The sequence below is a fragment of the Homo sapiens genome, chromosome 13, assembly GCF_000001405.40.
Source record: "Homo sapiens chromosome 13, GRCh38.p14 Primary Assembly".
In the NCBI taxonomy this organism is placed as follows: domain Eukaryota; kingdom Metazoa; phylum Chordata; class Mammalia; order Primates; family Hominidae; genus Homo; species Homo sapiens.
Genome location: NC_000013.11, coordinates 34,425,552 through 34,449,235, shown reverse-complemented (window position 1 = coordinate 34,449,235; position 23,684 = coordinate 34,425,552). Strand labels below are relative to the sequence as shown.

At 36.3% G+C, this 23,684-nt stretch overlaps 2 long non-coding RNA genes across 2 annotated transcripts in view; one reads left to right on the top strand and one right to left on the bottom strand.

Annotated features, from left to right (window-relative positions):
• The window catches only part of LINC00457 (long intergenic non-protein coding RNA 457), a 205,236-nt gene extending 191,450 nt beyond the window's left edge, over positions 1–13,786 (top strand). The window contains exon 3 of the long non-coding RNA NR_047036.1: positions 13,592–13,786. This is a non-coding gene — a long non-coding RNA (long intergenic non-protein coding RNA 457). The remainder of the gene's footprint in view (positions 1–13,591) is intronic.
• Positions 1–23,684, bottom strand: part of LINC02343 (long intergenic non-protein coding RNA 2343) — a 268,250-nt gene that overhangs the window by 167,057 nt on the left and 77,509 nt on the right. Inside the window, exon 2 of the long non-coding RNA NR_146542.1 lies at positions 19,682–19,769. This is a non-coding gene — a long non-coding RNA (long intergenic non-protein coding RNA 2343). The remainder of the gene's footprint in view (positions 1–19,681; positions 19,770–23,684) is intronic.

The following is a 23,684-nucleotide window of genomic DNA, read 5'->3' as shown; positions in this document are numbered from 1 at the left end:
CAACCTGAGTCCCTGTATCAGCTCCCCGCAACACTGGACCAGAGGCTCTATCACCCTTTTCCACCTAGTTTCCTCTGTCTTTATTCATTAGTACCCATTTTGGCTGAGGGACCTGAAAGTGAGTGCATTATGTCCCTTTATATGAAATGTCCCATGGTCTTCTATGGATTTAATCATGAAACAATTACAGACAGCATCAGGTGAGAAGTAGAAGTTGTTATGCCCAGACATCTATGATTAGAAAAACTTCCTATAAATTCTGATGCCACCACTTCCTAACTGCATAAGCTAGGACAGATCATGTAACCTCTCTGCTTTATTATCTTTAAAATTGGAATAATGGCAGTACATTTTTAAGGCTAATTTAAGAATAAATAAGATAATACATGTAAAGGATTTTGTAGAGGACTAGGCATGGTATAGGTTTAATAAATGTTAGCATACAATCAATGAATGTAAGGAAATATTCCTGGGAACATAAGTTTTCCTTTTCCATAGCTAGGAAACTTGGCATGGAAATAGATGAAGATCTATTTAATCTATGTGAGCTACAGCAAGGAGGAAGAATTGGTTCAGTATTGTGATCACTGGCCTATGATTTGGGGGTCTCAAAGGAAGATTTTTGCCTGAACCCAAATGGAAAGTGAAAAAGGCCAAAGAGGTCAAGAAGGGAGTAAAGAAATGGATTTAGAAGCAGCTGATCACCTTGTCTATACATGGCTTTGGAAAGCTCTGCCAAGGGTCTAGTAACATACAAAATTAATATGGAGGCTACTAGAATATTTGAGATGGAAATATTATCTTGAAAACTCACATTAAAAGCATAATGTTAAAATTAAAAGAAAATGAGAAAATGTCTACTCTGGTTTCTCACCAAGCCACAGGAAAACATGACCCTTATGAAACCAGAGCTCATGTTTACAAGAAACCATCTAGATGAGATGAAATGACAGGTACACCAGATTCAGGAAGAGGTTCCTGACTGCCAGGCCAGATTTGACGGGGAGGCATAATTAGTATTTCAGCCACAGAGCAGGAGTTGATGGAGGTCCAATAAGGGCTAAGTAAACCTGTCCAAAGAAGTCAGCCTGGATAGGCTGGGCAAAATGGTAGACTCTAGGACCAAGAGCTTGGACAGAACACAGGGGAGAGCATCAACTGAGGCGCTGGATGCTGATGTTTCCCAAGGCACTCAATTGAAGCCCATCTGAACTCACCCACAGTCTAAGAAGCCTGTGAGGTTCTGAGCTGATTCAGAGGAGGACTGAAGTGCAGAGTGAGATCAAAAGTAAAGAATATAAGGAGCTTAAGAAGTGTAAACATAGAATTATAACCAAATCCATTTTAGATACAGCTAAAAGTCAATTCTGAGCTCTGCCATTACACAGCTATACCCTTTGGAGAAATCACATACACTTTCTGATTCTCAGTTTCCTCATGTGTAAAATGGAGCTTAGAGTTCAGTGGAATCCCTCATGTCTGACACAAGCAGGGCCACTAGTTGGTTAGTCAATCAGAAAACCAGTTCAAGTGGGAACAAGCAATAGTATGTATTATACTCGAAATCCTTTCTTAAGCACATAAAATGTGTTTATTATCCAATATTTTCATGCAAGATTAAGGACTTTTCTTGAAATGTGGCCCACTCCTTAGAGTCCTTCCTTTTCTATGTTTTCAAAACCAATATCCTTGATGAATTGCCAAAGTTTTCTTATTTTTCTTCTTGTTTTTAAATGGACTGAAATAAGTTTAAGTACAGAATCCTCCTAGACCTTTATTCCCACTTCCATTATCCTCATACCTGTTCTTTTATAGTTGTCTAGATCATGGCTAATTTGATTACAGTTTTTTTTTTTAATTTTAGTGACTCGCCTTTAAAATGAGTCCTTCCAGATTATTCAATTTAGTTTTCATAGAAATGACAGCTTTCTTTATTTTTCACTCTATTTCATTGACACATTCATTACTACTCTATTAAATTATCTAATTATAATTGCAACTGGTTTGTGAGGAAATGCAACTGGTGTTTGGTAAGCAAAGACCTCAAATGGAGAGAGCAAAAACTGGTGAACATTCAAGAAAACAGCCTCCCTGCTGGCTATGAACATCCAAACACATACAAAGAGAATGGAGAATATCAGTCATTTCAGTAAGTCTATTCATGTGAAGATATGTTAAGAATCCTCCCAAGGAACCTCATAAAATTGTCATGAGAATTGAAGGAAAAGGAAAAGTTGAAGGTTTGTCAAATGGCTCAAACTTCGTAGAGGTTGCTTTCTTTTTTTTTTTTTTTTTCCTTTCTTCTTCTTCTTCTTCTTTTTTTTTTTGTTTTTTTTGTTTTGCTTTTTGTTGTTGTTGTTGTTTTTTAGAAAGACCAGATCTGGCTCTGTCACCCAGGCTGGAGTGCAGTGGTGTGATCTCAGCTCACTACAACCTCTGCCTCCCAGATTCAAGCGATTTTCCCACATCAGCCTCCCAGGTAGCTGGGACTCTAGGCATGCGCCACCGTGCCCAGTTAATTTTTGTAGAAACGGGGTTTCACCATGTTGGCCAGGCTGGTTTTGAACTCCTGACCTCAAGTGATTTGCCCCAGTCTCCCAAAATGCTGAGATTACAGGTGTGAGCCACTGCACCCAGCCAGAAGTTAATTTCTTTCTTTGCCTTCAGAAGCCTCCCAGGCTAGCACGGTGCCTTGCAGAATGATGACCCCTGTCTAAGGATGTCATCTTGATAATACTCAAGGCTGTGATTTAAATGTTCAGTTCCTTTGTGGATCCTACCTTATTGCTTTAAGGCTGACCTTTCCCAAGTCAATTTCCCTCACAGGTCTGGACAGTCAGTCTTTTCCTCCCATGCCCAGGACCATCTTGTTCAAGCTTGACACCCATGACTTTGGCAATGCACAGCTTTCTGTGCAAGATAAACTGGGGGAGCACTAACATCAGGCTTCCAGATAAAATTGCTGGGTAGTTTGCTCTTTCGAAGCCAATGGCATTTGGAGCTCTGGATGATTTTATTCCAGGACTATGGAGATATTTATAGCTGATCTTGATGTTCTATTATATTGTACAGAATTTTCAAAATGTCAAATAGGATGAAATGTCCAACCATGTGTTGAGTGTGCAAAGATAACATTGGGGAGAAGTCATTCTCTTCATTTGTAATTTACTTTGATTTAAAAATCACTTTCATACTGGTACAACAAAAGACAAAACTGTGAGGTAGGCAAGTGTATTCCCTTTTCTAATGAGTCTAATTTTTTTTCCTGGCTCAGCAGAATATGAACTGCACACAATCCTGAATGCTACCTTGTATTCTTCTAGGGAACCTCCTCTCTGATACATTTATGTCTGAACAGAGGGAAGAAATATTGAGAGCCCCATGCAATTGCCCACCACACATCTAGGTGTTTAGAGAAAGGGTAGTTATGTTCCACCAATCAACTGAATTGTATTGGAGACCTTGGTGTTATTAGGCCAGAAAACTTACTTTTTTCAGTGTCTGTTTTTTTTTCCCCCTTCTTATTTTGTCACCATACCTTTCTGGTTATATATTTGAGGACTTCTGTTTCTCTGGTTCTTTGTGCAAGAGGTCTGGCTATGCCACAAAGGGCCTAATACCCTGTGTAAGGCCTTTCCAATTGCCTACCAAAGCCATAGAGAGAATCATTACACATAGCAAAGGAGCCACCCATGCCTGTTCTTCCTCTTCTATGCTGTCAACAGGAGCTGGAAACAAGCTCAGAGGTGGCCACCATCTCTTCTGGAGTGAGAGATAACCTCTTCCATCTAGAGTCTCTTGGGATGTGCTCGAACATGAATAAAGAATAGAGGAGTTTCTCACAAATGTGTGGCCTGCATGTTTGTGAGCAGAAGAATGTGGTATGTCTCCACTCGGGGATTAAACAAGCCCTCAATGCAGGAGACTTCAGAGATTTTTATGGAAAAAGCAATAACGTGTCTGAGAGGGGTAAGGGAAGAAGAGGAAATAGGCCATCCAGGCCCCAAATGCAAACTTCATTTCTGACATCATTTGCATGCATTTGGCTGGGATCAAACTATGGAACCCGGGAGGCTGAGGCCACACATTGAATCCCCCATTCTTTCCATAGATCTGACTGTAAGCTCACAGAATGAAGCTACTAGTCACAGGATGAAACTCTTGGAGTAACACACACCACCACATACAATCTCTATTTAAAACATAGAAACAAAACACCTGATAGTTTAAAGAGCATGGCTTCTGAGTAAGAAAACAGAATCTTCTGAGTAATCCTTACCTTCATGAGGAGAAACTCATCATGTTTGGCCCAAGTTTATCTTTTTTCTGATGGTATGACATAGCTCTTGGGAACTATATTATCTTGACTCAAAGAGAACAATTTTAATGATGAAACCAAGCCATTATCGAGGATGGCCTAGAAAGAAATAGAATTTTTATGGATCTGGAAAATAACTATTATGGTCTCCGCTTTATGTGGCATGATTGTCTTCTCTCTAGACTTTTCCCAAAAAAGGCCACCTTTTATTTCAAAGCACTTCAGGAAGTTATGGATATGTATCATTTTCTGAAGTCCATGGGAAAAAAAAGCCACACGGGAACAAATTTGATGACCTCAGAATGGTCTGGGTTCAAAATTGATTAACTGCTTATGTCAGTAAGCTTACCTTTGTTCTCTTTTACCATTAGTTAAAAAACAGATTTATAGCTGTCATAATGGCATAGCTCTATACTGCACGCCTATCTACTCTGTTGAATTAGAAATTTGAAGTGTAAGATTATGATGTTTTAGATCACAGAAGCAGCCAGGTAACCACAATTCTAACTTCTTTGAGAAGAATTGGCAGAAGGGACCTTTGCACTGCAGATTTCCCAGTATGAACTCCAAGTTACACCAAAAATTTCCAGTCCCATTTGTAACAAATCGTGTAGCCAATGTGGGACATGTCTAATTTTGGATGACCTAAAACTGCTAGATGGTTAATACTTCCGTGCTCAACCTACTATCCTAAAACAGGGATTCTTTTATTTCGAAAGGTTATTTTTAAATTAGTCTTTGGAACTGTGAGAATTGCAGTTTTTGAGTTTGTAGTTTCTAAGTGACTGATTATGGGTTTTTTTTAGATACTTTTCCTGAAATAAGATGTAACTAGGGGACAGCTGGGACCTGGTCATAATCTCACCTTCTAACCGCAACAGGAAGGGCTGACCATATTAATATCTTCCTTGTTTAATAACACATTGAAACTTTAAGCCTCTTTGGTATCTTTATTATTGTGTTTATTATAATAAACCTTAAATATAGAGTTAACAGATGTCCTATGATCACAGCTTTAAACTATTGCCCTGGCATCCTGTTTAGTACTCATTATGAATTTACTATTTTTAAATAGACTATTATAATTTATAGTTACATTAAAATAAAACTGGATGGGATAGATAGACCCTCACTTTGTTTTTCCAGCTAGTCTCATCTTTTGGTGTGTAAGCTGTATGTGCAGTAAACACAGTTCTCACTTTAACCTGTGGCCAAATGGGAAACAGGATCCATGATACCCTGTTGTTTTCCACCCTTGCTAGATGCACTCAGCTAGCTTCTCCACTTTATAGTCAGCCAGCAGGGCACTTATCAATAAAATGAAGGGTACTTGGTCATTGGTAATTGCTTGGATAGTGGTAGGAGAAGCAAGTTGTGTTGTGGCCTGTGCAATGCCCTGTGAAAAGCACGGAAGCCAGCAGACTATGAGTTGGTAGAGTCAGTGGAAATCAACTGGAAACAAGGAAAATTATAATTTAGATGTCCATAAAATATGTCTGGGAAATAGAGGTTGAGAAGTTCTGCAGTCAAGTGTATCATCAGCCATCTGAAAACACTTGCTTAGTGGTTTTGTCAATAATTTTAAGGTGTAATCCTATTATTGCTTCTTATTATTTGGTAATGATTTTTCACTAAAGCCCTTTTGACAACAAAGAGCTAAAAATATTGAAAGTACACATTTAGTTAAAATTAAGGACTGATTTTCTATTTCCCAAGAAAGTTGATAATAAATGTGCAACTTGCACAGATTCGTTATGAAATCTTTACCATCCATTGTCGGTGCCAACATGTTATCACTAATCACATGAAAAACAGAAGATACGAAGTTGCTAAAGAAGCAAGAACATATACTTCAAAAATTGCTAACTATTAAAAAATGCCCATGGATGCAATTTAACAGGAGCAGTAGCAGGAAGTGTGTTAAATTTTCATTACATAACTTTCATTTAGATCAAACGATTGTTCCTATAAATTTATTCTACACATTTTAGATTCTGTGGTTTCCTGCAAATGTATGAAAAGTGAAAGACAGCTGTTAGTAAGTTGGCCCTATCATTGAAAGAACAACTTGGCAAACAATTGAAGAATGCCAGTTTTTTATTAGTGTTTTCAGGGTGATTCTAACAGAAAATCAGTCAAATTACTTCTAATAATAGCTTAATATTTTCAACCAATTTATGAAATCCAAATACAGCTTTGAGTGCTCATTCAGAGACAATACGCCTGCCATTACTGCAAATTTTATTGTAAACTTACTTTAATTTTGTTTATTTTTTATTTACTTTGAAACAGGGCCTCACTCTCTCACCCCAGCTGGAGTACAGTGGTATAATTATAACTCACTGCAGCCTAGAATTCTTGGGCCAAAGTGATCCTCCTGCCTTAGCTTTCCAAGCAGCTGGGACTACAGGTGCATGCCGACACACTCAGCTACTTCTTAAACTTTTTTTTTGTAGAGACAAGGTCTTGCAATGTGGCTCAGGCTGGTCTCAAACTCCTGGGCTCAAGTGATCCCCCTGCCTTGGCCTCCCAAAGTGTTGGGATCATAGGAGTGAGGCCACCACTCCTGTTTTATTTTTATTTTTATTTTTAAACTTACTTTGAAAATCCAATATTTAAGATAAAATTATTCTAATATAAATTTTAGTGGAGTATAGTATCATGGTAAAAAAGTTCTGCCTAGTTCTATCAAGCTGAATCATATTTGGAACTGGCTGTAATGCACACAGTACACTGATACCTGCAACTCACAGATATCAATCTGAACATCTTTGATTCTCTAGTGATTGAAGTAGAAATCAAGAGTTGTTGAGGTTTACAAATATGTCTTATATTTATGGGTTGAGTAAATGAATTACCTCATATTTGTGAAGAAGCTAATGTTGAATTTTGAAAGAGAAATACTTCATCGTGACAGTACATGTTTTTTTTTTTTTATGGCCCAACACTAGTTTGATTTTAGAAACGCTGGATTTGAAGAGCTACTTTGTAAAATTCTTACAATCTTAGTGTCCCACAAAAAAAGTGAACTTTTTTTTGGTAAACAAGTTCAGTAAATTTTGGTTGTCTATCGTTTAAAATTACTTGGAAATCTTTCATCAAATTATTCAATGTATCAACTACTACAAAACTTTGTCTTTCAAAGTCAATTGCAATTGTTAAAAATATATCACGAATGAGAGGACACTAAAATTTATTACTATAGGAGCAGAGGAAGAGCTGCACAAATTAAAAACTGAGAGATTGAAAGGTTAAAGTTTTAATTTGCAAAACCAACAATGGCTATTTGAGTTTATTGACTTCTGGGAAGAATTTTTGTCAGTATCACTACTTTTAATGGAATGAATTTCTATTATTGACCACAATGGAATTAAATTAAGAATGATTATAATTTTCAGCATTTCTGTCTGATGAAACATTCAAAAGAATCAAGTTTTGTCTTATAAAATATTTGCCAAAGAAAGGTTCTTTGAATGGAGAAAAATGAATGTGTAAAAATACTTGCACTAAATAATTACACATTTCGAGGTTTACAAAAAAGAATTGAAATTATGTTCCATCAGTAGACTCTGCTGTAAGCTTACCAGATGCTTCAGCATTTATGGATCTTTTATTTTTTTGGTTAAATTCCTAGTAGCTAAAACAGAGAAAATCTAATTCAGAAATGGAGGTTTTATGTCCATCATCCTTATCAATCCTTTCTTTCTCTCTGGAAGGTTTTTTAATTTTCTCTTTGTCTTTGATATTCTTTTTTTTAAAACATATTTTTATTATACTTAAGTTCTAGGGTACATGTGCACAACGTGCAGGTTTGTTACATATGTATACATATGCCATGTTGGTGTATATCTCCTAATGCTATCACTCCCCCCTCCCCCAACCCCACAACAGGCCAGGGCCTGTCTTCGATATTCTTAAACTTCACCATAATCTGTTTGTGTGCTGTTTTTTCATACTGGAACTATATAAACCCTTTCAGCCTGAGGTTTTTTATCTTCTTTTAATTCTAGAAATTTATTTTCATTGTTTCTTCAAATATTTCCTCCTCTTTGTTTTCATTTCCCCATCCTTTAAAGCCTTCTATCTTTTGGATGTTGGCCTTCTGTTTCAATCTTCCATATATTTTAGCTTTTTTTAATATTTTACATCAGCTTAGTCTTTTCTCGTGATTTCTGAGATAGTATTGTCTTTCTGAATAATATATTCTTATTTTCACAGGATTTATATGACTACTTAACCCATCTATTGTATTCTTTATTTCAACTATTATTTGGTTCACATTTAATGTTTTCTCTTAACCTTTATTTTATGTGGCTATAAAGATGACCAATATGTAGTATTTTTCTAAAAGACTGTGAGATATTGTGATATAAAAAGAAATGTATATTTGGTCTCTGCCCCTGGTTTCTGGCACAGAGCTTCTAAAACCTTTGTAATTTTCTGAGCTATAAGGATGCTAAGCACTTTTTTCTCCCTTATATTTGATCTTTGACCATGGTTCCTGATACAGATCCTAATCCCTTGGAATTTCCTGGGTGATAGAAATGTCTTTTTATGAATGTGGCAATTCTTGGTGGGCTCCTGGATGGGGACTGATCACTAGAAAGAACACACCATGATGAGAAGCTTTGAACCTTCAGCCCCCTTCCCTGGTCCTCCAGGAAGGGAAGAGGGACTGACAATTTAGTTAATAATTGCTCAGGCCTATATGATGAAGCCTTCATAAAGATCCCTGAACTACAGGGTTCAGATAGCTTTCAGGTTGGTGAACAAGTGGAGGATATGGGGAGGCGGTGCACCCTAAGAGGGCATGAAAGCTGTGGAACTTGCCACATCCCTGGCCCTATGCATCTCTTCTATCTGGCTGTTCATTTGTGTCCTTTTATAATAAACAAGTAAATATAAGTAAAGTGTTTTCCTGAGTCCTGAGACATTTTAGCAAATAATTGAACCCAAGACGAGTGTTGTGGGAACCTCTGGTTTATAGCTGGTGGGTTGGAAGCATAGGTAGAACAATCTGGGATTTGCAATTGACATCTGAAGTAGGGGGCAGTCTTGTGGGACTGAGCCCTTAACCTGGTGGGGCCTGCACTAATTCTAGTTAGTGTCGGGATTTAGGATGCTCTGCTGGTGTTGGAGAATTGGTTGGTGTGAGAGGAGAAAAAAACCCACACATGTGGTCACAGCAGTGCTCTGTGTTTTTTATGGAATACTACTCAGCCACAAAAAGGCACGAAATAATAATGTCTTTTGCAGCAACTTGAATGGAGCTGGAGGCCATTATTCTAAGTGAAGTAACTCAGTAATGGAAAACCAAATATCAAATAGCATATGTTCTCACTTATAAGTGTGGGTTGGGGGCTAAGCTATGAGGATGCAAAGGCGTAAGAATGATCTAATGTACTCTGGGAACTCGGGGTGGGGTGGATGGTTAGGAGGGAGTGAGGGATAAAAGACTGCATATTGGGTGCAGTGTATGCTGCTTGGCTGATGGGTTGACTAAAATCTCAGAAATCACCAGTAAAGAACTTATCCATGTAACCAAAACCACTTGTACCCCAAACAAATTGAAATAAAAAAAGAAGTGTTCTGTGTTGAGAGAATAGTATATGAAAACAGTTTTTCCCCCTCCTATTTTACAGATTGTATTATGTAGGCAGTTTTCAGGTAACACATATAGATCTAATTTAATTCTTTAATCACTCCTTTTAAATCCATATTGTGCTATTGATCTTTGTCCCCTGTTATGTAATTTAGGCTTGAGTAGAATCCTTCTTTTACTTGGATAGTGGGTTAAGTTATCTGCCCCAAAAGATATCTTCAAGTCCTAGTGCCTGGCACCAGTGAATGTGACCTGATGTGGAAATAGCGTCTTTGCAGGTATAATCAAGTTAGGGTCATACTGGATTAGTGTGGCCCCTAAGTTTAATAGCTGGTGTTTCTATAAGAGAAAGAAGAGGGCTATTTGGATACAGAGACACAGGGGAGACATAAAGAAAGAAGGCCATGGGAAGACTAAGTCAGAGATTGGAGTGATGCATTTATATGCCAAGCAATGTCAGCAGTTTCCAGGAGCTACCCAAAAGAGGCAAGGAAGCATTCTTCCATAGAGCCCTCAGTGGGAGCATGGCTTGACAATACCTTGATTATGACTTTGAGCTTCCAGAACCCAGAAATAATACAATTTTGTTGTTTTAAGCAACTCAATTTGATTTGTTATGGCAGCCTTAGGAAACACACACTGTGGAAGGAGTTTTTAATAGTCAAAAACCATTCCAAGCAATATACAGATTGTGAGTTTCAGCAAGTTTGCATATAACAGAACTCCCTCAGGTTTTGTTCAGTTTTTTATTTCTCTGTGGAGAGAAACTTCATTACTTACTTAAATCTTATCAAAATACAGGCTTTGGTTTTTTATTAAACTGCCTTTCATACCTCCAATTTTTTCCATGTTAATTTTTTGTTTTGTTTTGTTTTGTTTTTAGTGTTCTCTTGTCTTTCATCATTTTTCTGGCACTTCATCCAAAGGACAAAGTAGAAAATTGTGAGCACTTTGGGTCAGAATATGGACAGTGGGAAAAACTGGCCTCTGAGTGTCTGACTTATGTGCACAGTGCCCGTCACAGATAGGGTGGTAAAAAAGGGAAAAACAAACAAACAAAAATAGTCATTGAATTGAATTTCAAGCTAGTAGGGTGTCTGTATACTCACAAGAGTATAAAACTATATTAAAACTACATGATATTGTCTTTTTGTAATTATCAGGGGGTGATTTTCTTTGTTCCAACTTAAGTCTGTAATAGAACTTTGTGTTCTTCAAAACATGTACCACATGGCCCCTTAGCAGTCCACAGATAGGATTAGATACAAGTTTGTTTTTGCTGCAGTAGTTAGTCACACAATCATCATCATTAATAATAGTACTTTCACCATCACTTTAATAATTTTATAATTTGTTAATGTTTTTACACATATATTATTAACCCTGTGGATTATTTATCATATTTGATTTAATATACCTCTCATCTGGTGTGGAAACCAAGACTCAAAAATATTTAGAAACTTAACCTAATTCACAGAGTCCACATTCAAGGACCTTTACAACACAGTACTTCAACAAAATGTTAAGAACTGTGAGGGATACCAAGAGAGTCATGGGTGTCTTTTTGCCATATTTCTGGCATATATCATATGCTATTGTTAATGTAGAATAGATTTTATTTTTCGCGGTCAAAAAATCTGTCCTCTTTGTTTTGCATTATAGAAAAAAGTGTACTACTGCCAGTGGACTAACTGGGAGAACTCAAATTGGATGATGAGGTGGAGCACTTTTTGCAGAAAATAAATAATCTGCTCAAATTTCTCTGGCAGGGTAGCTAAAATGAAATAATCATTTTGGCAGTGATGGACAAAAAAAAAAAAGAAACTTAAAAGAGACTTAAAAGAGGTCTTATTTGTAGTGACATTATTGATAATGTAGATAAGCTGCATTTGTAAGTTTAAAGAAATTGAAGAGAGAGAAAACTATAGTGGGAAGAAATGTTGGGTCAGTCCTTATTTTGAAAAATGCTTCCCAGAAATATGCTCATATCATTCATCCATTGACAATCATCATTTGTTGGACATCAACTGCTTGTACTACATTAGCTTATGACATGAATTTGAAATACTTTATTACACCCTAGAAATTATTATCATTACACCCTAGAATTTGAAATACTTTATTACACCCTAGAAATTATTATTACACCTGGAAATAATGGAAAATCAATAAATTGGTTTTCCATTTGAATTTTGTATAGATTAAAAGTACTTTCATGCTTCTAATTTTTAAAATTTTCTGTTCCAAATAATTTTCTTATGCTAAAAACAGCACCTACATCCTTGCTATCAATTGCTTTCTTTTTTAGTGACAACTAGACCAGTAAAGAGATAAAATAATAAAAATGGTATCAATACAATATGAACTGATACAGTGAAAATGCACATGATAAGATGAACTGAGTGAGAGGAGTATCAAACAATAGCTTATTTTTTGTGGCTACAACCTACCTTGCATTCCAGTAGCCAAGAATTTGCCCATTGGACTACTTGTATTTTTGCCCGTTATGTATAATTTTTCATATATCTAAATTTTTACCATATTCTTTATCGAATAACTTTAAATGACACTGAATTTGGTAAGGCCTACTGTGACTTTTCCTGAAGACATATATATTTGGAGCTGTGAAAGTTTAATTGAACCTTTCCTTTTATGGCATATAGCCAGTCATATACCTGTATAGTGCTGAGATGTTAGCCAGAATTGCCATCTTGAAGTATTTTCCAGGATTATGCTATAGTGAAAAGGAAGAATAAACTCACATGTATGAGATTTTTCTATATTACACTGATGACTTCCTTAAAGGAAAAGTCCAAACTCATCTTATTCAGAATTCTGAAAAGATCAGTGTTACTATTACAACATCAAACATAACAGTGTTACTATTATATAATAACATCAAACATACTAATTTGCTACTTACAAGAAGTTTTAAAAAGAGAAAAATGCAATAAAAATTTTTTGTGAAAAATTATTGCACACGTCATTGATAAATTCAACAAAGCTATAAACAAAGTGTTTATCTTTAATCAGTATAATTTGCCAGAGAAATGGCATTATCTGATTTAAAAAATTAAATTTCTTTTCAACTTAACTACTTCTATTTAGCGGCAATTTTAGTGTACTGATTGCTTTTATTTTATTTGCATATATTATACTGAAAACTAAGAAAATGAACCCATACTTTTTATAGGCACTGCTACCTGAATTCCTTCTAAATCACTGAGGAAAATGCAACTTAAACCATTCTCTGTCATAACCTCTTCATGGTTAAATATATAAACATTGTAAACTGGTAATAAAAATCATTTTGGGTTTGATTTAGTAAATGTAGAGGATTCTTATTCATTAAATAATGTCTTTCTGAAATTGGTAAACAAATAATATGTCGTCTCTTAAAAAATACTAGAAATATTTGTTTAATACATAATATTTATAGGTAGATGTTCCAAGTGTATTTTAAGAAGAATTTCTTTGTAAATATCACCTTATTTTTGATGATGCAGAATTTTATGATTGGATTTGCATAATAAATATTTTATTATGTAAATTTATAAATAATTTATTATATGCCATGATTCTGTCTACTTTTACCTAACAGAAAAAGTGCTCTATAGATTTTATTTATTTTCCTCAATCCCACTGTCCAAACCATCCCCGAATTTCTTCAGTCGCAGATTGGCATGAGCTGTGGAGAAAGAGTCTGGATTCTGGGTTGCTGTGTCACACACAGCCCACTTGCAGGATGACAGTGGAAGAATGAGTCATGATCTCTGCAAGCGCCCATCAAGAACAGCCTGAGAGGTCTGGAAAGTGCTCACCCCAGGACCCTTCATGTCCTTATTAAAATTGTATGGCAGAAAAAATGAGTCATAGGTGAAAAACAGGCTCTATAAAAAGCTTTTCTTGCCTTGGTATCAGACATAACATTTTACTTCAAGGAAGAGCAATATAATAACCTAGTGGTTAAGAGCATGGGCTTTGGGATCACGTAGCTCGAAGTGCAGATCGGACACAGCCATTTAACTTTGAGCAATTTGCTTAACCTTTCTTTAGCCTTCATTTCCTTATCTGTAATAGAGCTCTGAAATAATACCAACCTCCTAGGGTTGTTCTGAAAATTAATGAGATAATGCACAAAACAACTTTAAAAATCTGGTACCATATAGTAAAAACTGAATAAAGAGTGTAGGGTTATTATTGCTCTGATATCATTATCATTCATGGAAAATACAGGAGAAATAGAATCCCTCACCTTCTATGATTAGAAACATATTATCACTGACAAGAAGCGCAATTCAATATTTATTATGAATTATAGTACTAAAATTAAGGTACTATCTCGGTACTTTTCTCCTAGTATAGCTCCTTGATACTCATATATATGCTACTTATATAATTCATATTGTAGAGTAAAAGCAACAATGTTTATTGGAGTAATAAAAATACCACTATGCTAGAGGCTGGCAGACTTCACTGAAATATACGGTTTGCAAATTTTCACATCAGCTCAAAGTAGTATATCTCAGAGTAAGCGATGTTCAGATGCATGGAAGTGGTTATTGGCTTCTGAACAGTGAATGTCTTGAGCATCTTGTTTCCTGAGGTTTCCATATGGTGAAGTATCTCTAAGGAGACACCTTTACCACGTATGTAGGCTTTCACTGGTCTAAATTTCTACTGTATATGACATAGTTTAGATAACAGAGGCAGCTCTTCCCTTTATTTCTGTTTTTTATTGCATTTTAAAGAATGCTGAAGAAAATAGAGAGTCATCTGTGAAAATCTTTTAGATAATTTCTAATCACTCAATATCCCTTTTCTATTATTATTTGAGCATCTCTACGGGAGGTCATTTTGGCTAATGATTTTATGTTCTAAGATTCATCATCTCTGCTGTCAGAGTGTGATGAAAATGCCTAGAAAAGAATGTAAAATTTTTTTTAGTAATAGAGGATTTAGGGTAAAGTATCTCCATTAAATTTTGACTCTTAAAAATATAGCTCAGGCAAAAATTGATCTGTTCTTTCTGTTCAGCAATTTAGATCTCATTTTCATGAAAATAAGAAGGCTATTGGAAAGTACCATACATGGTATTACATTTTTGTATAATATGCACTATCTCAATGCATTACTATTAGGCAATTTATATTTCTTAGAAAAGCTATCTGGCCTTGTCTAATATTCATTGATGAAATTAATTTAATATAAAAGTTCTGAATTTTAAAGTCCTTTCCAGAATTATTTTTACAGAAATCATCTTCAGGACTGCTGTTGTTATATCTATCACAAGATCATATGATGTAGTTGAGAATAAGAAGCATTAGCCTTTGAGATTAAGCTGCTTGGTCAATGAGAAGGTCTTACATATTTGGAAATCTGGCTGAAAATTTCATGCAGAATTTCAACTGTTTCTGATGAGCTTCACCTGGCCCTTTTGGCCGACAATTCATCATGTCTATTACCTGCATCATTCAAATTTCTTTTGAAGGAGAACATTGATAAACGTTTTCATAACTTAATATCCTTGTCATAGTAGTGGCAGCCAAAAATCATTGACCTGATGAATAGAAATAAATGACTTTAGAAATATGTTCATATCTGATAAAGGCTTCAATGTTGGGCCACTGGCATTGAATAGTCTGATAATGACAGTGCTCACAGAAATATGTATGTGTATGTATATACATATGTGTGTGTACCTCTGTGTTTTCTACTTAACATATATATAGACATATATATCTAAATTTCTATTGCTTTTTAAACTATAATGCCCCCCACATAATTATTGTTGGCCTATTTCTTTGTCTCCTAGATCAGTAGTCTTCACATTTGATTTTGATTAAATATTTCATCAATAAATTTTTTAAAACAAATATCCTTTCTCTTCACATTTATTTTACAAATTATTTGTAAAACACTAAGATGTATGTTATAAAACATAGAGGAAGATAACTTACAAAGGATATTTCACTTTTCCTATTAACACTGCAGAAAAGCTCATACTTTTTGTCTGTGTGACTTAAAAATTTTGGAAATTTTAGTTTTATACTTCATAATAAATTATTTCAAAGCTCTTGCCTCAGCTTATTTTATTTTGTTGCTTGGTTTTAATGGTTACTACAATGGTTGTAGCTGATGGTTGGCATTTATTCTCCTTTCCTTCAAATCTTACGTAGGTACTTCGAGTGAGCACAAATTTATTTAATTAACGTACGAAACCTTAGCCTCAAGGAAATTTGGGAAATACAATTCGTTTTGCAGTACAATAAAATACACTTGATAAGAAACTATAATGATGAAATAGGTTTGTTGACACTGAGCCCACTGTGGGACAGACATGGGCCAAAACTCCACCTTTTTACGTTTTCTGCTTGTTTCAATGATGTCTACACTAAATGGTGTTAAAATATTAAACATTTCTTAGATTATTAAGGTACTACCTAGGTACTTTTCTCCTAGTATAGCTCCTTGATACTCAAATATATGTTCATATATATGTAGAGGGGGAATCCAAAGACATAAGGATATAAGACTTTTTAATTGATTTTCTGCTGTGTGACTCATTTATCTTCACCTTTACCAAGTAATCAGAATAGGGCTCAAGGATACTCCCTTAACTAAAGACTGGAAAATATATTCGCTATGAAAGTACGCATATTTTTGTAAAGTGCTTGGGAGCAAATGCTGTTATCTTTGGTAAGCCTATGATGAAGGCTTTGAAAAATTATGGCTTTGAAAGAAGCTCCCCAATTTAGGATTTGATGAAATCTCCAGTGTCAGTAATTAATCACCAGAAAAAAGTGATCTGTTGCTGAAATAATTAGTAGGCTAGAGTATAATCACAAGTCTGACCCATAGAAATCTTTGTTGGTGCTTAATTGAGCATGAGCTTCCCTAGGACTCTAGTAAATGGATAGGCTTTAAAGTCTTGCTTAATCTATACAACCCCAAACAAACAAGCACATCTAGATCTAGAAATGAAGCTATGAGTTGAGTCACTTGATTGAGAGTCATTGTCACTGTTTCAATTCCGTGACATGAACCAGTTCATAAATCCTTGCAGAACAACAGTAAGTCATTGAAACAAGTACATATACATTGTACAAGATTCCTTCTTTGCTTTCTTAAAGACATCTGCAGCCATTGATTAGAACAACTGGGAAAGGAAAATGCCAAGTAATTGTAGGGATTATTGACCACTGGCATTGAAACATGTAAATCTCTGAGGACATAAAACATGACTGTGGGGGCATTTAGAGATCAAGGGTTAAGTGGAGTTGGGGCCCAAGTCTGTCTGACAGTGGGTCCCATTGTCTGCAAGCCTACCCAGAAATGTCCAGCCAAGCCCTTTCCACTTGACTTGCGGAAACTATGAGAGCTAATAAAATGATTATTGTTCTTTTAAGCCACTACAATTTAGAGTGATTTGTTACACAACAACAGACAATCCAAACACCTGGTGAGATACATGCCTGTCAAAGGTGGAATACAAACACAAAGAAAACGATTATGTCTTTGGTTTCTGAAAGCCTGGCTATAACAGACAAACTTGGCTGCTGGCAGATTTCCTACAATAACTCTTCTGACTAAAGGAGTGAAGACTATTATGGTAGGAAGAGCCAAACATAAGAGTTTGGAATTGCACTTGTAACTAGAAAGTTAAATTTAAGCAATACTGAACCCCAAGGTAAATTGTAGCCAACATCCAAAAACATAAATGCTTCAGGAATATCTATTTTCTTCCCAAATAAGACATTTATTCCTTCACTCAGGAGATGAAGGGGTCTAGGAGAATAATAGGAAACTATTGTAAACCAATCAGGTGGTGATTTAAATTACGTCTCTTGTTCCAGGTGCAATCTCTTTTCTAAAGCAAAAAACATCTGCTCTGTCCTGGCTATGCACCAGTTATATTTCTGGAAAAAAATATACAATTATGCTAATAAATAGGGTACTAGAAACAATCTACTTTCACCTGAAAGGCATAGCAGTATACTTTTGCCATATTAGCTCAGGGCAAGGCCAACCCTTCTACACACTATCATAAACTAAACCATGATTGTCTCATCATTCTAATCACTCTGGACCTCTATATTAATTTCATGCTACAGCACCTGTTCAGCAGAAATTAGTAGATACCCTTGATACCTGGTTTGTCAGATTATATTTTCCTCAAATGGCTCAGGTATTGGGTGGGCTTTTCTAACTGCTTCAACCAGAAGAGCACATTAGAAGTGGTTTTGCATCCCACAAGGCTAGGTTATTGTATTAGTCTGTTCTTACTCTGCTAATAAAGACATATCCAAGACTGGGTAATTTATAAAGGAAAAAGGTTTAATTGACTCACAGTTCCACATGGCTGGGGAGGCCTCACAATCACGGTAGAAGGCAAAGGAGGAACAAAGTCACGTCTTACATGGCAGTAGGCAAGAGAGAGCTTGTGTAGGGGAACTCCCCTTTACCAAACCATCAGATCTCCTGAGACTTATTCACTATCACAATAAGAGCACGAGAAAGACCCATCTCCATGATTCAATTACCTCCCACTGGGTCCCTCCTATGACACGTGAGAATTATGGGAGCTACAATTCAAGATGAGATTTGGGTGGGGACACAGCCAAACCATATCAGTTAGGCAAGAGGAAATGGCTTTCATTTTATTCAGTAGAATCTTTGTGCTTGATGCCTCCACCTGTCGTATAAACAGAAAAATTGTCCTGCTGGAGGGAAGTGGAAGGATCATACAAAGAGTCCTGAGATTCTATGAAGGGAGAAATTCCCGGCCTTCCTCCAGATGCCTCAGCTCCTCATCTTTCCCACACCAGATGCAATCTGACCACAGCTACAGCAGAGGCCCTGAGTCAGAAGTGTCTAGTCAAGACATTCCCACTTGATGTGCAGAAAACATGAGAGGTAATACAATGATTGTTGTTCTCTTAAGCCACCACAATTTAGTGATTTGTTGTAGAACAATAGACAACCCAAACACCTGGTGAGATACATGCCTGTCAAAGGTGAAATACAAACACAATGAAAATTTATGTGCCTGTTAGCTCTGAGAAATTTCTGGCACTCGTATAGTTCAGGGCATGTCAGAATATTACATCTAAAGAAAGACAAGTTTCTAGATTTTGCACAACTCTTACCACATAAGAAAGGAACCCTGGGGTTTTTGAAGGAAACAATGTATCACATTTGGGAGCCGCTAAACCAGTCTGCATTTTAAGCACTTCTATTTACTTCTTGGACTTTATGTCACAGCAGACCCTAGGTTTTCAAATTCTCTATGGTAGATGGGGATACTCTAGGGATATTGTGGGAAGTCCCATCAAGATAATCATGGTGCAGGCCTTTTGGGTTTTGAAGCAGAGTGGTACCTTCTTCCAAAAATATTTATTCTTTTCTTTAGAAATAGCCCTTGGCTTGCTATTAAGTTCTAGAGATATCAAGTGACCATGCAAATTGAGCTTTCATCATAAACAGGGTATCCTATGGCCCACTGAGCCATAAATTTGAGAAGCTAATCATCATTAATTATAAAATTAGATTTCAGCAGATACTGAAAGCACCAGTATGTTGCATGATCATTTGGCACATAATCTTAGTGCAGCTAGTTTTGCTGCATTGTGTACAACTCCCTCACCCTACAACTATGTACTCATGGGGACTGAGAAAAATAGTCAAGCCTGACTTAAAGACATTTCTGTACAATGATCTGGAACCAGTCTGAAGTGGGAAGTTGCAAGTTTTTACCTTACCTGTGGGATACCCCTGGTGTGCAATAATGAAGGGAAATTCTTCCAGTAGTCAGAAAGTCAAGTGATACATCTGGATTGCCCACTTTGCCTAGAAGGAGAGACAAACACATGTGTGGTCTGAGAGCTATAAAGAAGAAGACTGAAGGACTAGTGTCAGTGGAAAAGAAGCAGAAAAGAAATATGTTAATGAAAGTCTAAAAAGTGACCCAGAGCATAAGAATATTTATATTCCATGTAAATTTTCTCTGGGGGAATTCTTGGGGGTTCTTAAGACCATTTCAGATGGTCCACAAGGTAAAAACTATTTTTGTAATAATATCAGGATGTTATTTGTAGTTTTCACTCATATGCTTTCACAAGTGTAGAGTTTGCCAGAGGGCACGTGATACGTGATATTTTAACATACTGAACGTAGAATCAGATATGAGACTCCAGCTGTCTTCTAGTGAGCCAGACATTAAGGAGATTTGCAAAAAGTAAAATAATGCCAGGCTTGTCAGCTGCTATTTTATTTTTCATAAAAATATGTTACTTAAGTTAGTATAAAATGGAATTTTTTTGCTATATTTAAATAAATTAAAAATACATTTCAAAATTTCTCAATTTTAGTTTATAATCTGTTAAGTACCAACAGATAAAATTCATATAAATTATAGTTTTGTACAGCCAAAATATTTTTTAAGAGAGTGAAGGGGTCCTGATACCAAAAGTTCAAGAACCACTCAACTAGTCTATCACTGGCTTTGTTGTATTTCTTTATGCTTTCTGGTCCTCTTTCCTAAGAGTTTGTCCATTCAATTGCATTCTATTAAATTTCAACTTCTTCTTCAACTTATCAGGGCCATTTGAATCTAGATCTTGATGATTAGTGTTCCACTCATTCTCTTTTCCCCCATTTTGATGATTCTACAAGTTAAAAGAGCTGCTCTTCATGATGATTCTACAAGTTAAAAGAGCTATTCACCAGAGAGCATTTTGATGAAAATGCTTTATCACCTGGCACAGACGGATCATGGCTGAGAATCCACTGGTAATTATTCTTGATCATCGTTCACCAAATTGTGATGCATCAGTGTATAGGCTTATATGTAGGCCACATTTGCCAACATTATTTCTCATCAGTTTTCTTGGGACAAGAACAAAAGCCACAACAAAGTCATATTGGCTATACCATATGGTAAACTTTAAATATCTCAGGTTTCTCTTTCTATTAAACAAGGTTATTGACAGGACTCAAACTCCAAATTCTTTCTTCTGTTCCAGGCAGCAACTGGAACCTGTGCTCAGATTTTTTTTTTAGCCTTCCAGCTGTTGCCTTCTGCTGGACTCTGTCGTTTTCTTTGGGCATACACAGTTCAGTGTTCAGCCAAGGATTTAATGGTCATTTATTTGTAATTTTGGAAGCTCCCCCCACTATATGCCTGTAGTGACCTCCTTCCTAGGATTTTCCCCCTTAATTTCCAGGTTCTCTGATAGCCTCAAACAACCTTCTCTAACACTGTAAGCCATAAGAATGTTGCCTTCTGTGAGTTCTAACCATCCTGTTCTACAGACAAGGCAAAGTCCTAAGAGAAAAGTCGCATAAATGTGGATCTTAGCCACTACAGTTCCTTCCTTCATGTGCCACCTCCTCCCCAGCCCCAGTGCTTGTCTGCTTTTAGGTGCTCTTGGTGCCTTGAAATAGATTTATGTTTTGAACAGAATTTATAGTAATCACCTGTGCAGAGGTTAATTCAGTACAAGATAATCCACCAATATCAGACTACCATTTGATTTGTAAAAAATAATTTATTTTATTTATATGTCAAGTCCTTGGGCTAAAAAGTACATGTGAATAAGATATTTCCTTTAAAATTTATAATCAAATTTTATAATCCAATCAAGATTATAAGTTAACGTCATTATTAGTCGTAGCTTTATTTTGTTAACTCACTTACAAATACACACACACATTCTTGAAGACAGAAATCCATTTCTTTGAGGACTAAATAATAAGTAGCGTTTCTTGTGGGAAAATAATAGTTGAGGGAATTACACAATTCTCACAATTCTCAACTTTGCTCTTAGCACACCTTCTTTTTTTTTTTTTTTTTTTTTTTTTTTTTTGAGACAGAGTTTTACTCTTTTCACTCAGGCTGGAGTGCAATGGTGATCTTGGCCCACTGCAGCCTCCACCTCCCGGGTTCAAGTGATTCTCCTGCCTCAGGCCTCAGCCTCCCAAGTAGCTGGGATTACCGGCGCCCACCACCATGCCTGGCTATTTTTTTTTTTTTTTTAGTGGAGACAGGGTTTCACCACATTGGCCAGGCTGGTCTTGAACTCCTGACCTCAGGTGATCCACCCACCATAGCCTCCCAAAGTTCCGGGATTACAGGTGTGAGCCACCATGGCTGTAATTCTACTTTTAGTAGCATGATGGTTAATTTTATGTGTCAATTTGGCTATGCTATGCTGTCCGGTTGTTTGGTGAAACACCATTCTAGATATTGCTGTGAAGATATTCTACAGATGTGATTAACATTTACAGTCTTTAAATAGATTGACCTTCACAATGTGAGCAGACTTCATCCAGTCAACTGAAGGCCTTAAGAGCAGACTGAGATTTCAGAAAGAAGAAGGAATTTTTTCTCTAGACTGCCTCTGCCTAAGTTCCAGCCTAAGGGCCTGCCAGACAGGCTTTACACAGTTCCTACGATTGACATCTCTCTCTATCTATGTGTATGTCATATCAGTTCTATTTCTCTGGACGACTTTGACTAATACAAGGAGAATCCTTAGCAACTCATATTTTTCAGAAATTGAGAGACTGATGTTTATTTCTGACATTTTTAAACTGCTTCATCATTATTCCATAAATGCCCTCCCAACTTTTCCATTGACTTTGTGATTACTTTTAGTGAACATTTGTATAACCATAAGCAAAGAAATTACATTAAAAAATTAACTTTTATTGACACCCTTTTTTTTGCTTTTTAAAACAAATGGAAGGATTTAGAGAACATAGTACTTATTTATTACTTTGCATTTAATTTTATATTAAAAGGAAATGTTCAAGATGTAAAAGAAATTAATGAATTAAACCCTTCTTTTCGTGGATTTTAAAGAATTAGAAGGAAACATGCCAACCTCACATTTTAACAAAACGTTCCAAATTATCCACAAACCTGTTTTGTTTGTGGTTAGTTTTAATCCCAAATCAAATATCGCCCATAATCCCAGTCAGTTTGCTTCTAACTACCAGATGAAACAGAAATCAAAGATAATGACAATGATTTAATGTTCCGTCATTCTTTTGCATGTTTACCATTAAAAAAATTAGTTACAAGATGCAAGATTGTAAAATTGTTTATAAGCAACAACATCGAGATTTTGAATTTAGGTCTGGCGTTAACACCAGTGGCATTGTGTCTCCTTAGTAGTATGGTAGAAGGAAAAACCTCCCATTAGCTCAAAGCAACTGTTCTAACTCTATCAACTCACATGGCTCTGCAGCATGTGGCTGGATTTCATATTCTCTTCCAGGCAGGGTTGGTAACACATGGTCAGTGTTTGAGCATTGCACAGATCATAACTTACAGGTAAATTTATCATTTGTGTGTGTGTGAAAACCAACAAAAAGAGGAAAGGCTTGTTACTTGTTCAAGGGAGAGGTTCTACAGCATTTGAATTTGTGGCTCCCTGCAATGAGTTAATTGAGAGGAGACTATCCATTTATTAGAATTTGAACCGCCCCACAGCCATGCATACACAACCCCCCACCCCCGACTCCCTGTGCTTGAGCATGCAGTGAGGTCATTACAACCTGTGCAGCAGGGCAGTGGGGTGGGGGCAGCAGCTCCTCTTGGGAGCACAGCCACAAAGGCTGTTACCTGTGATGTTCCTCCATTGCGCTGCTCTGGAAGGAAGGGTGACCTGATCTGTTATTTCTCATCAAAAGCAAAAAGATTGAAAGTCATTCTTTACAGCTTGAATGGAGAATTTCACAAACGTCCCCTTGCCAGAG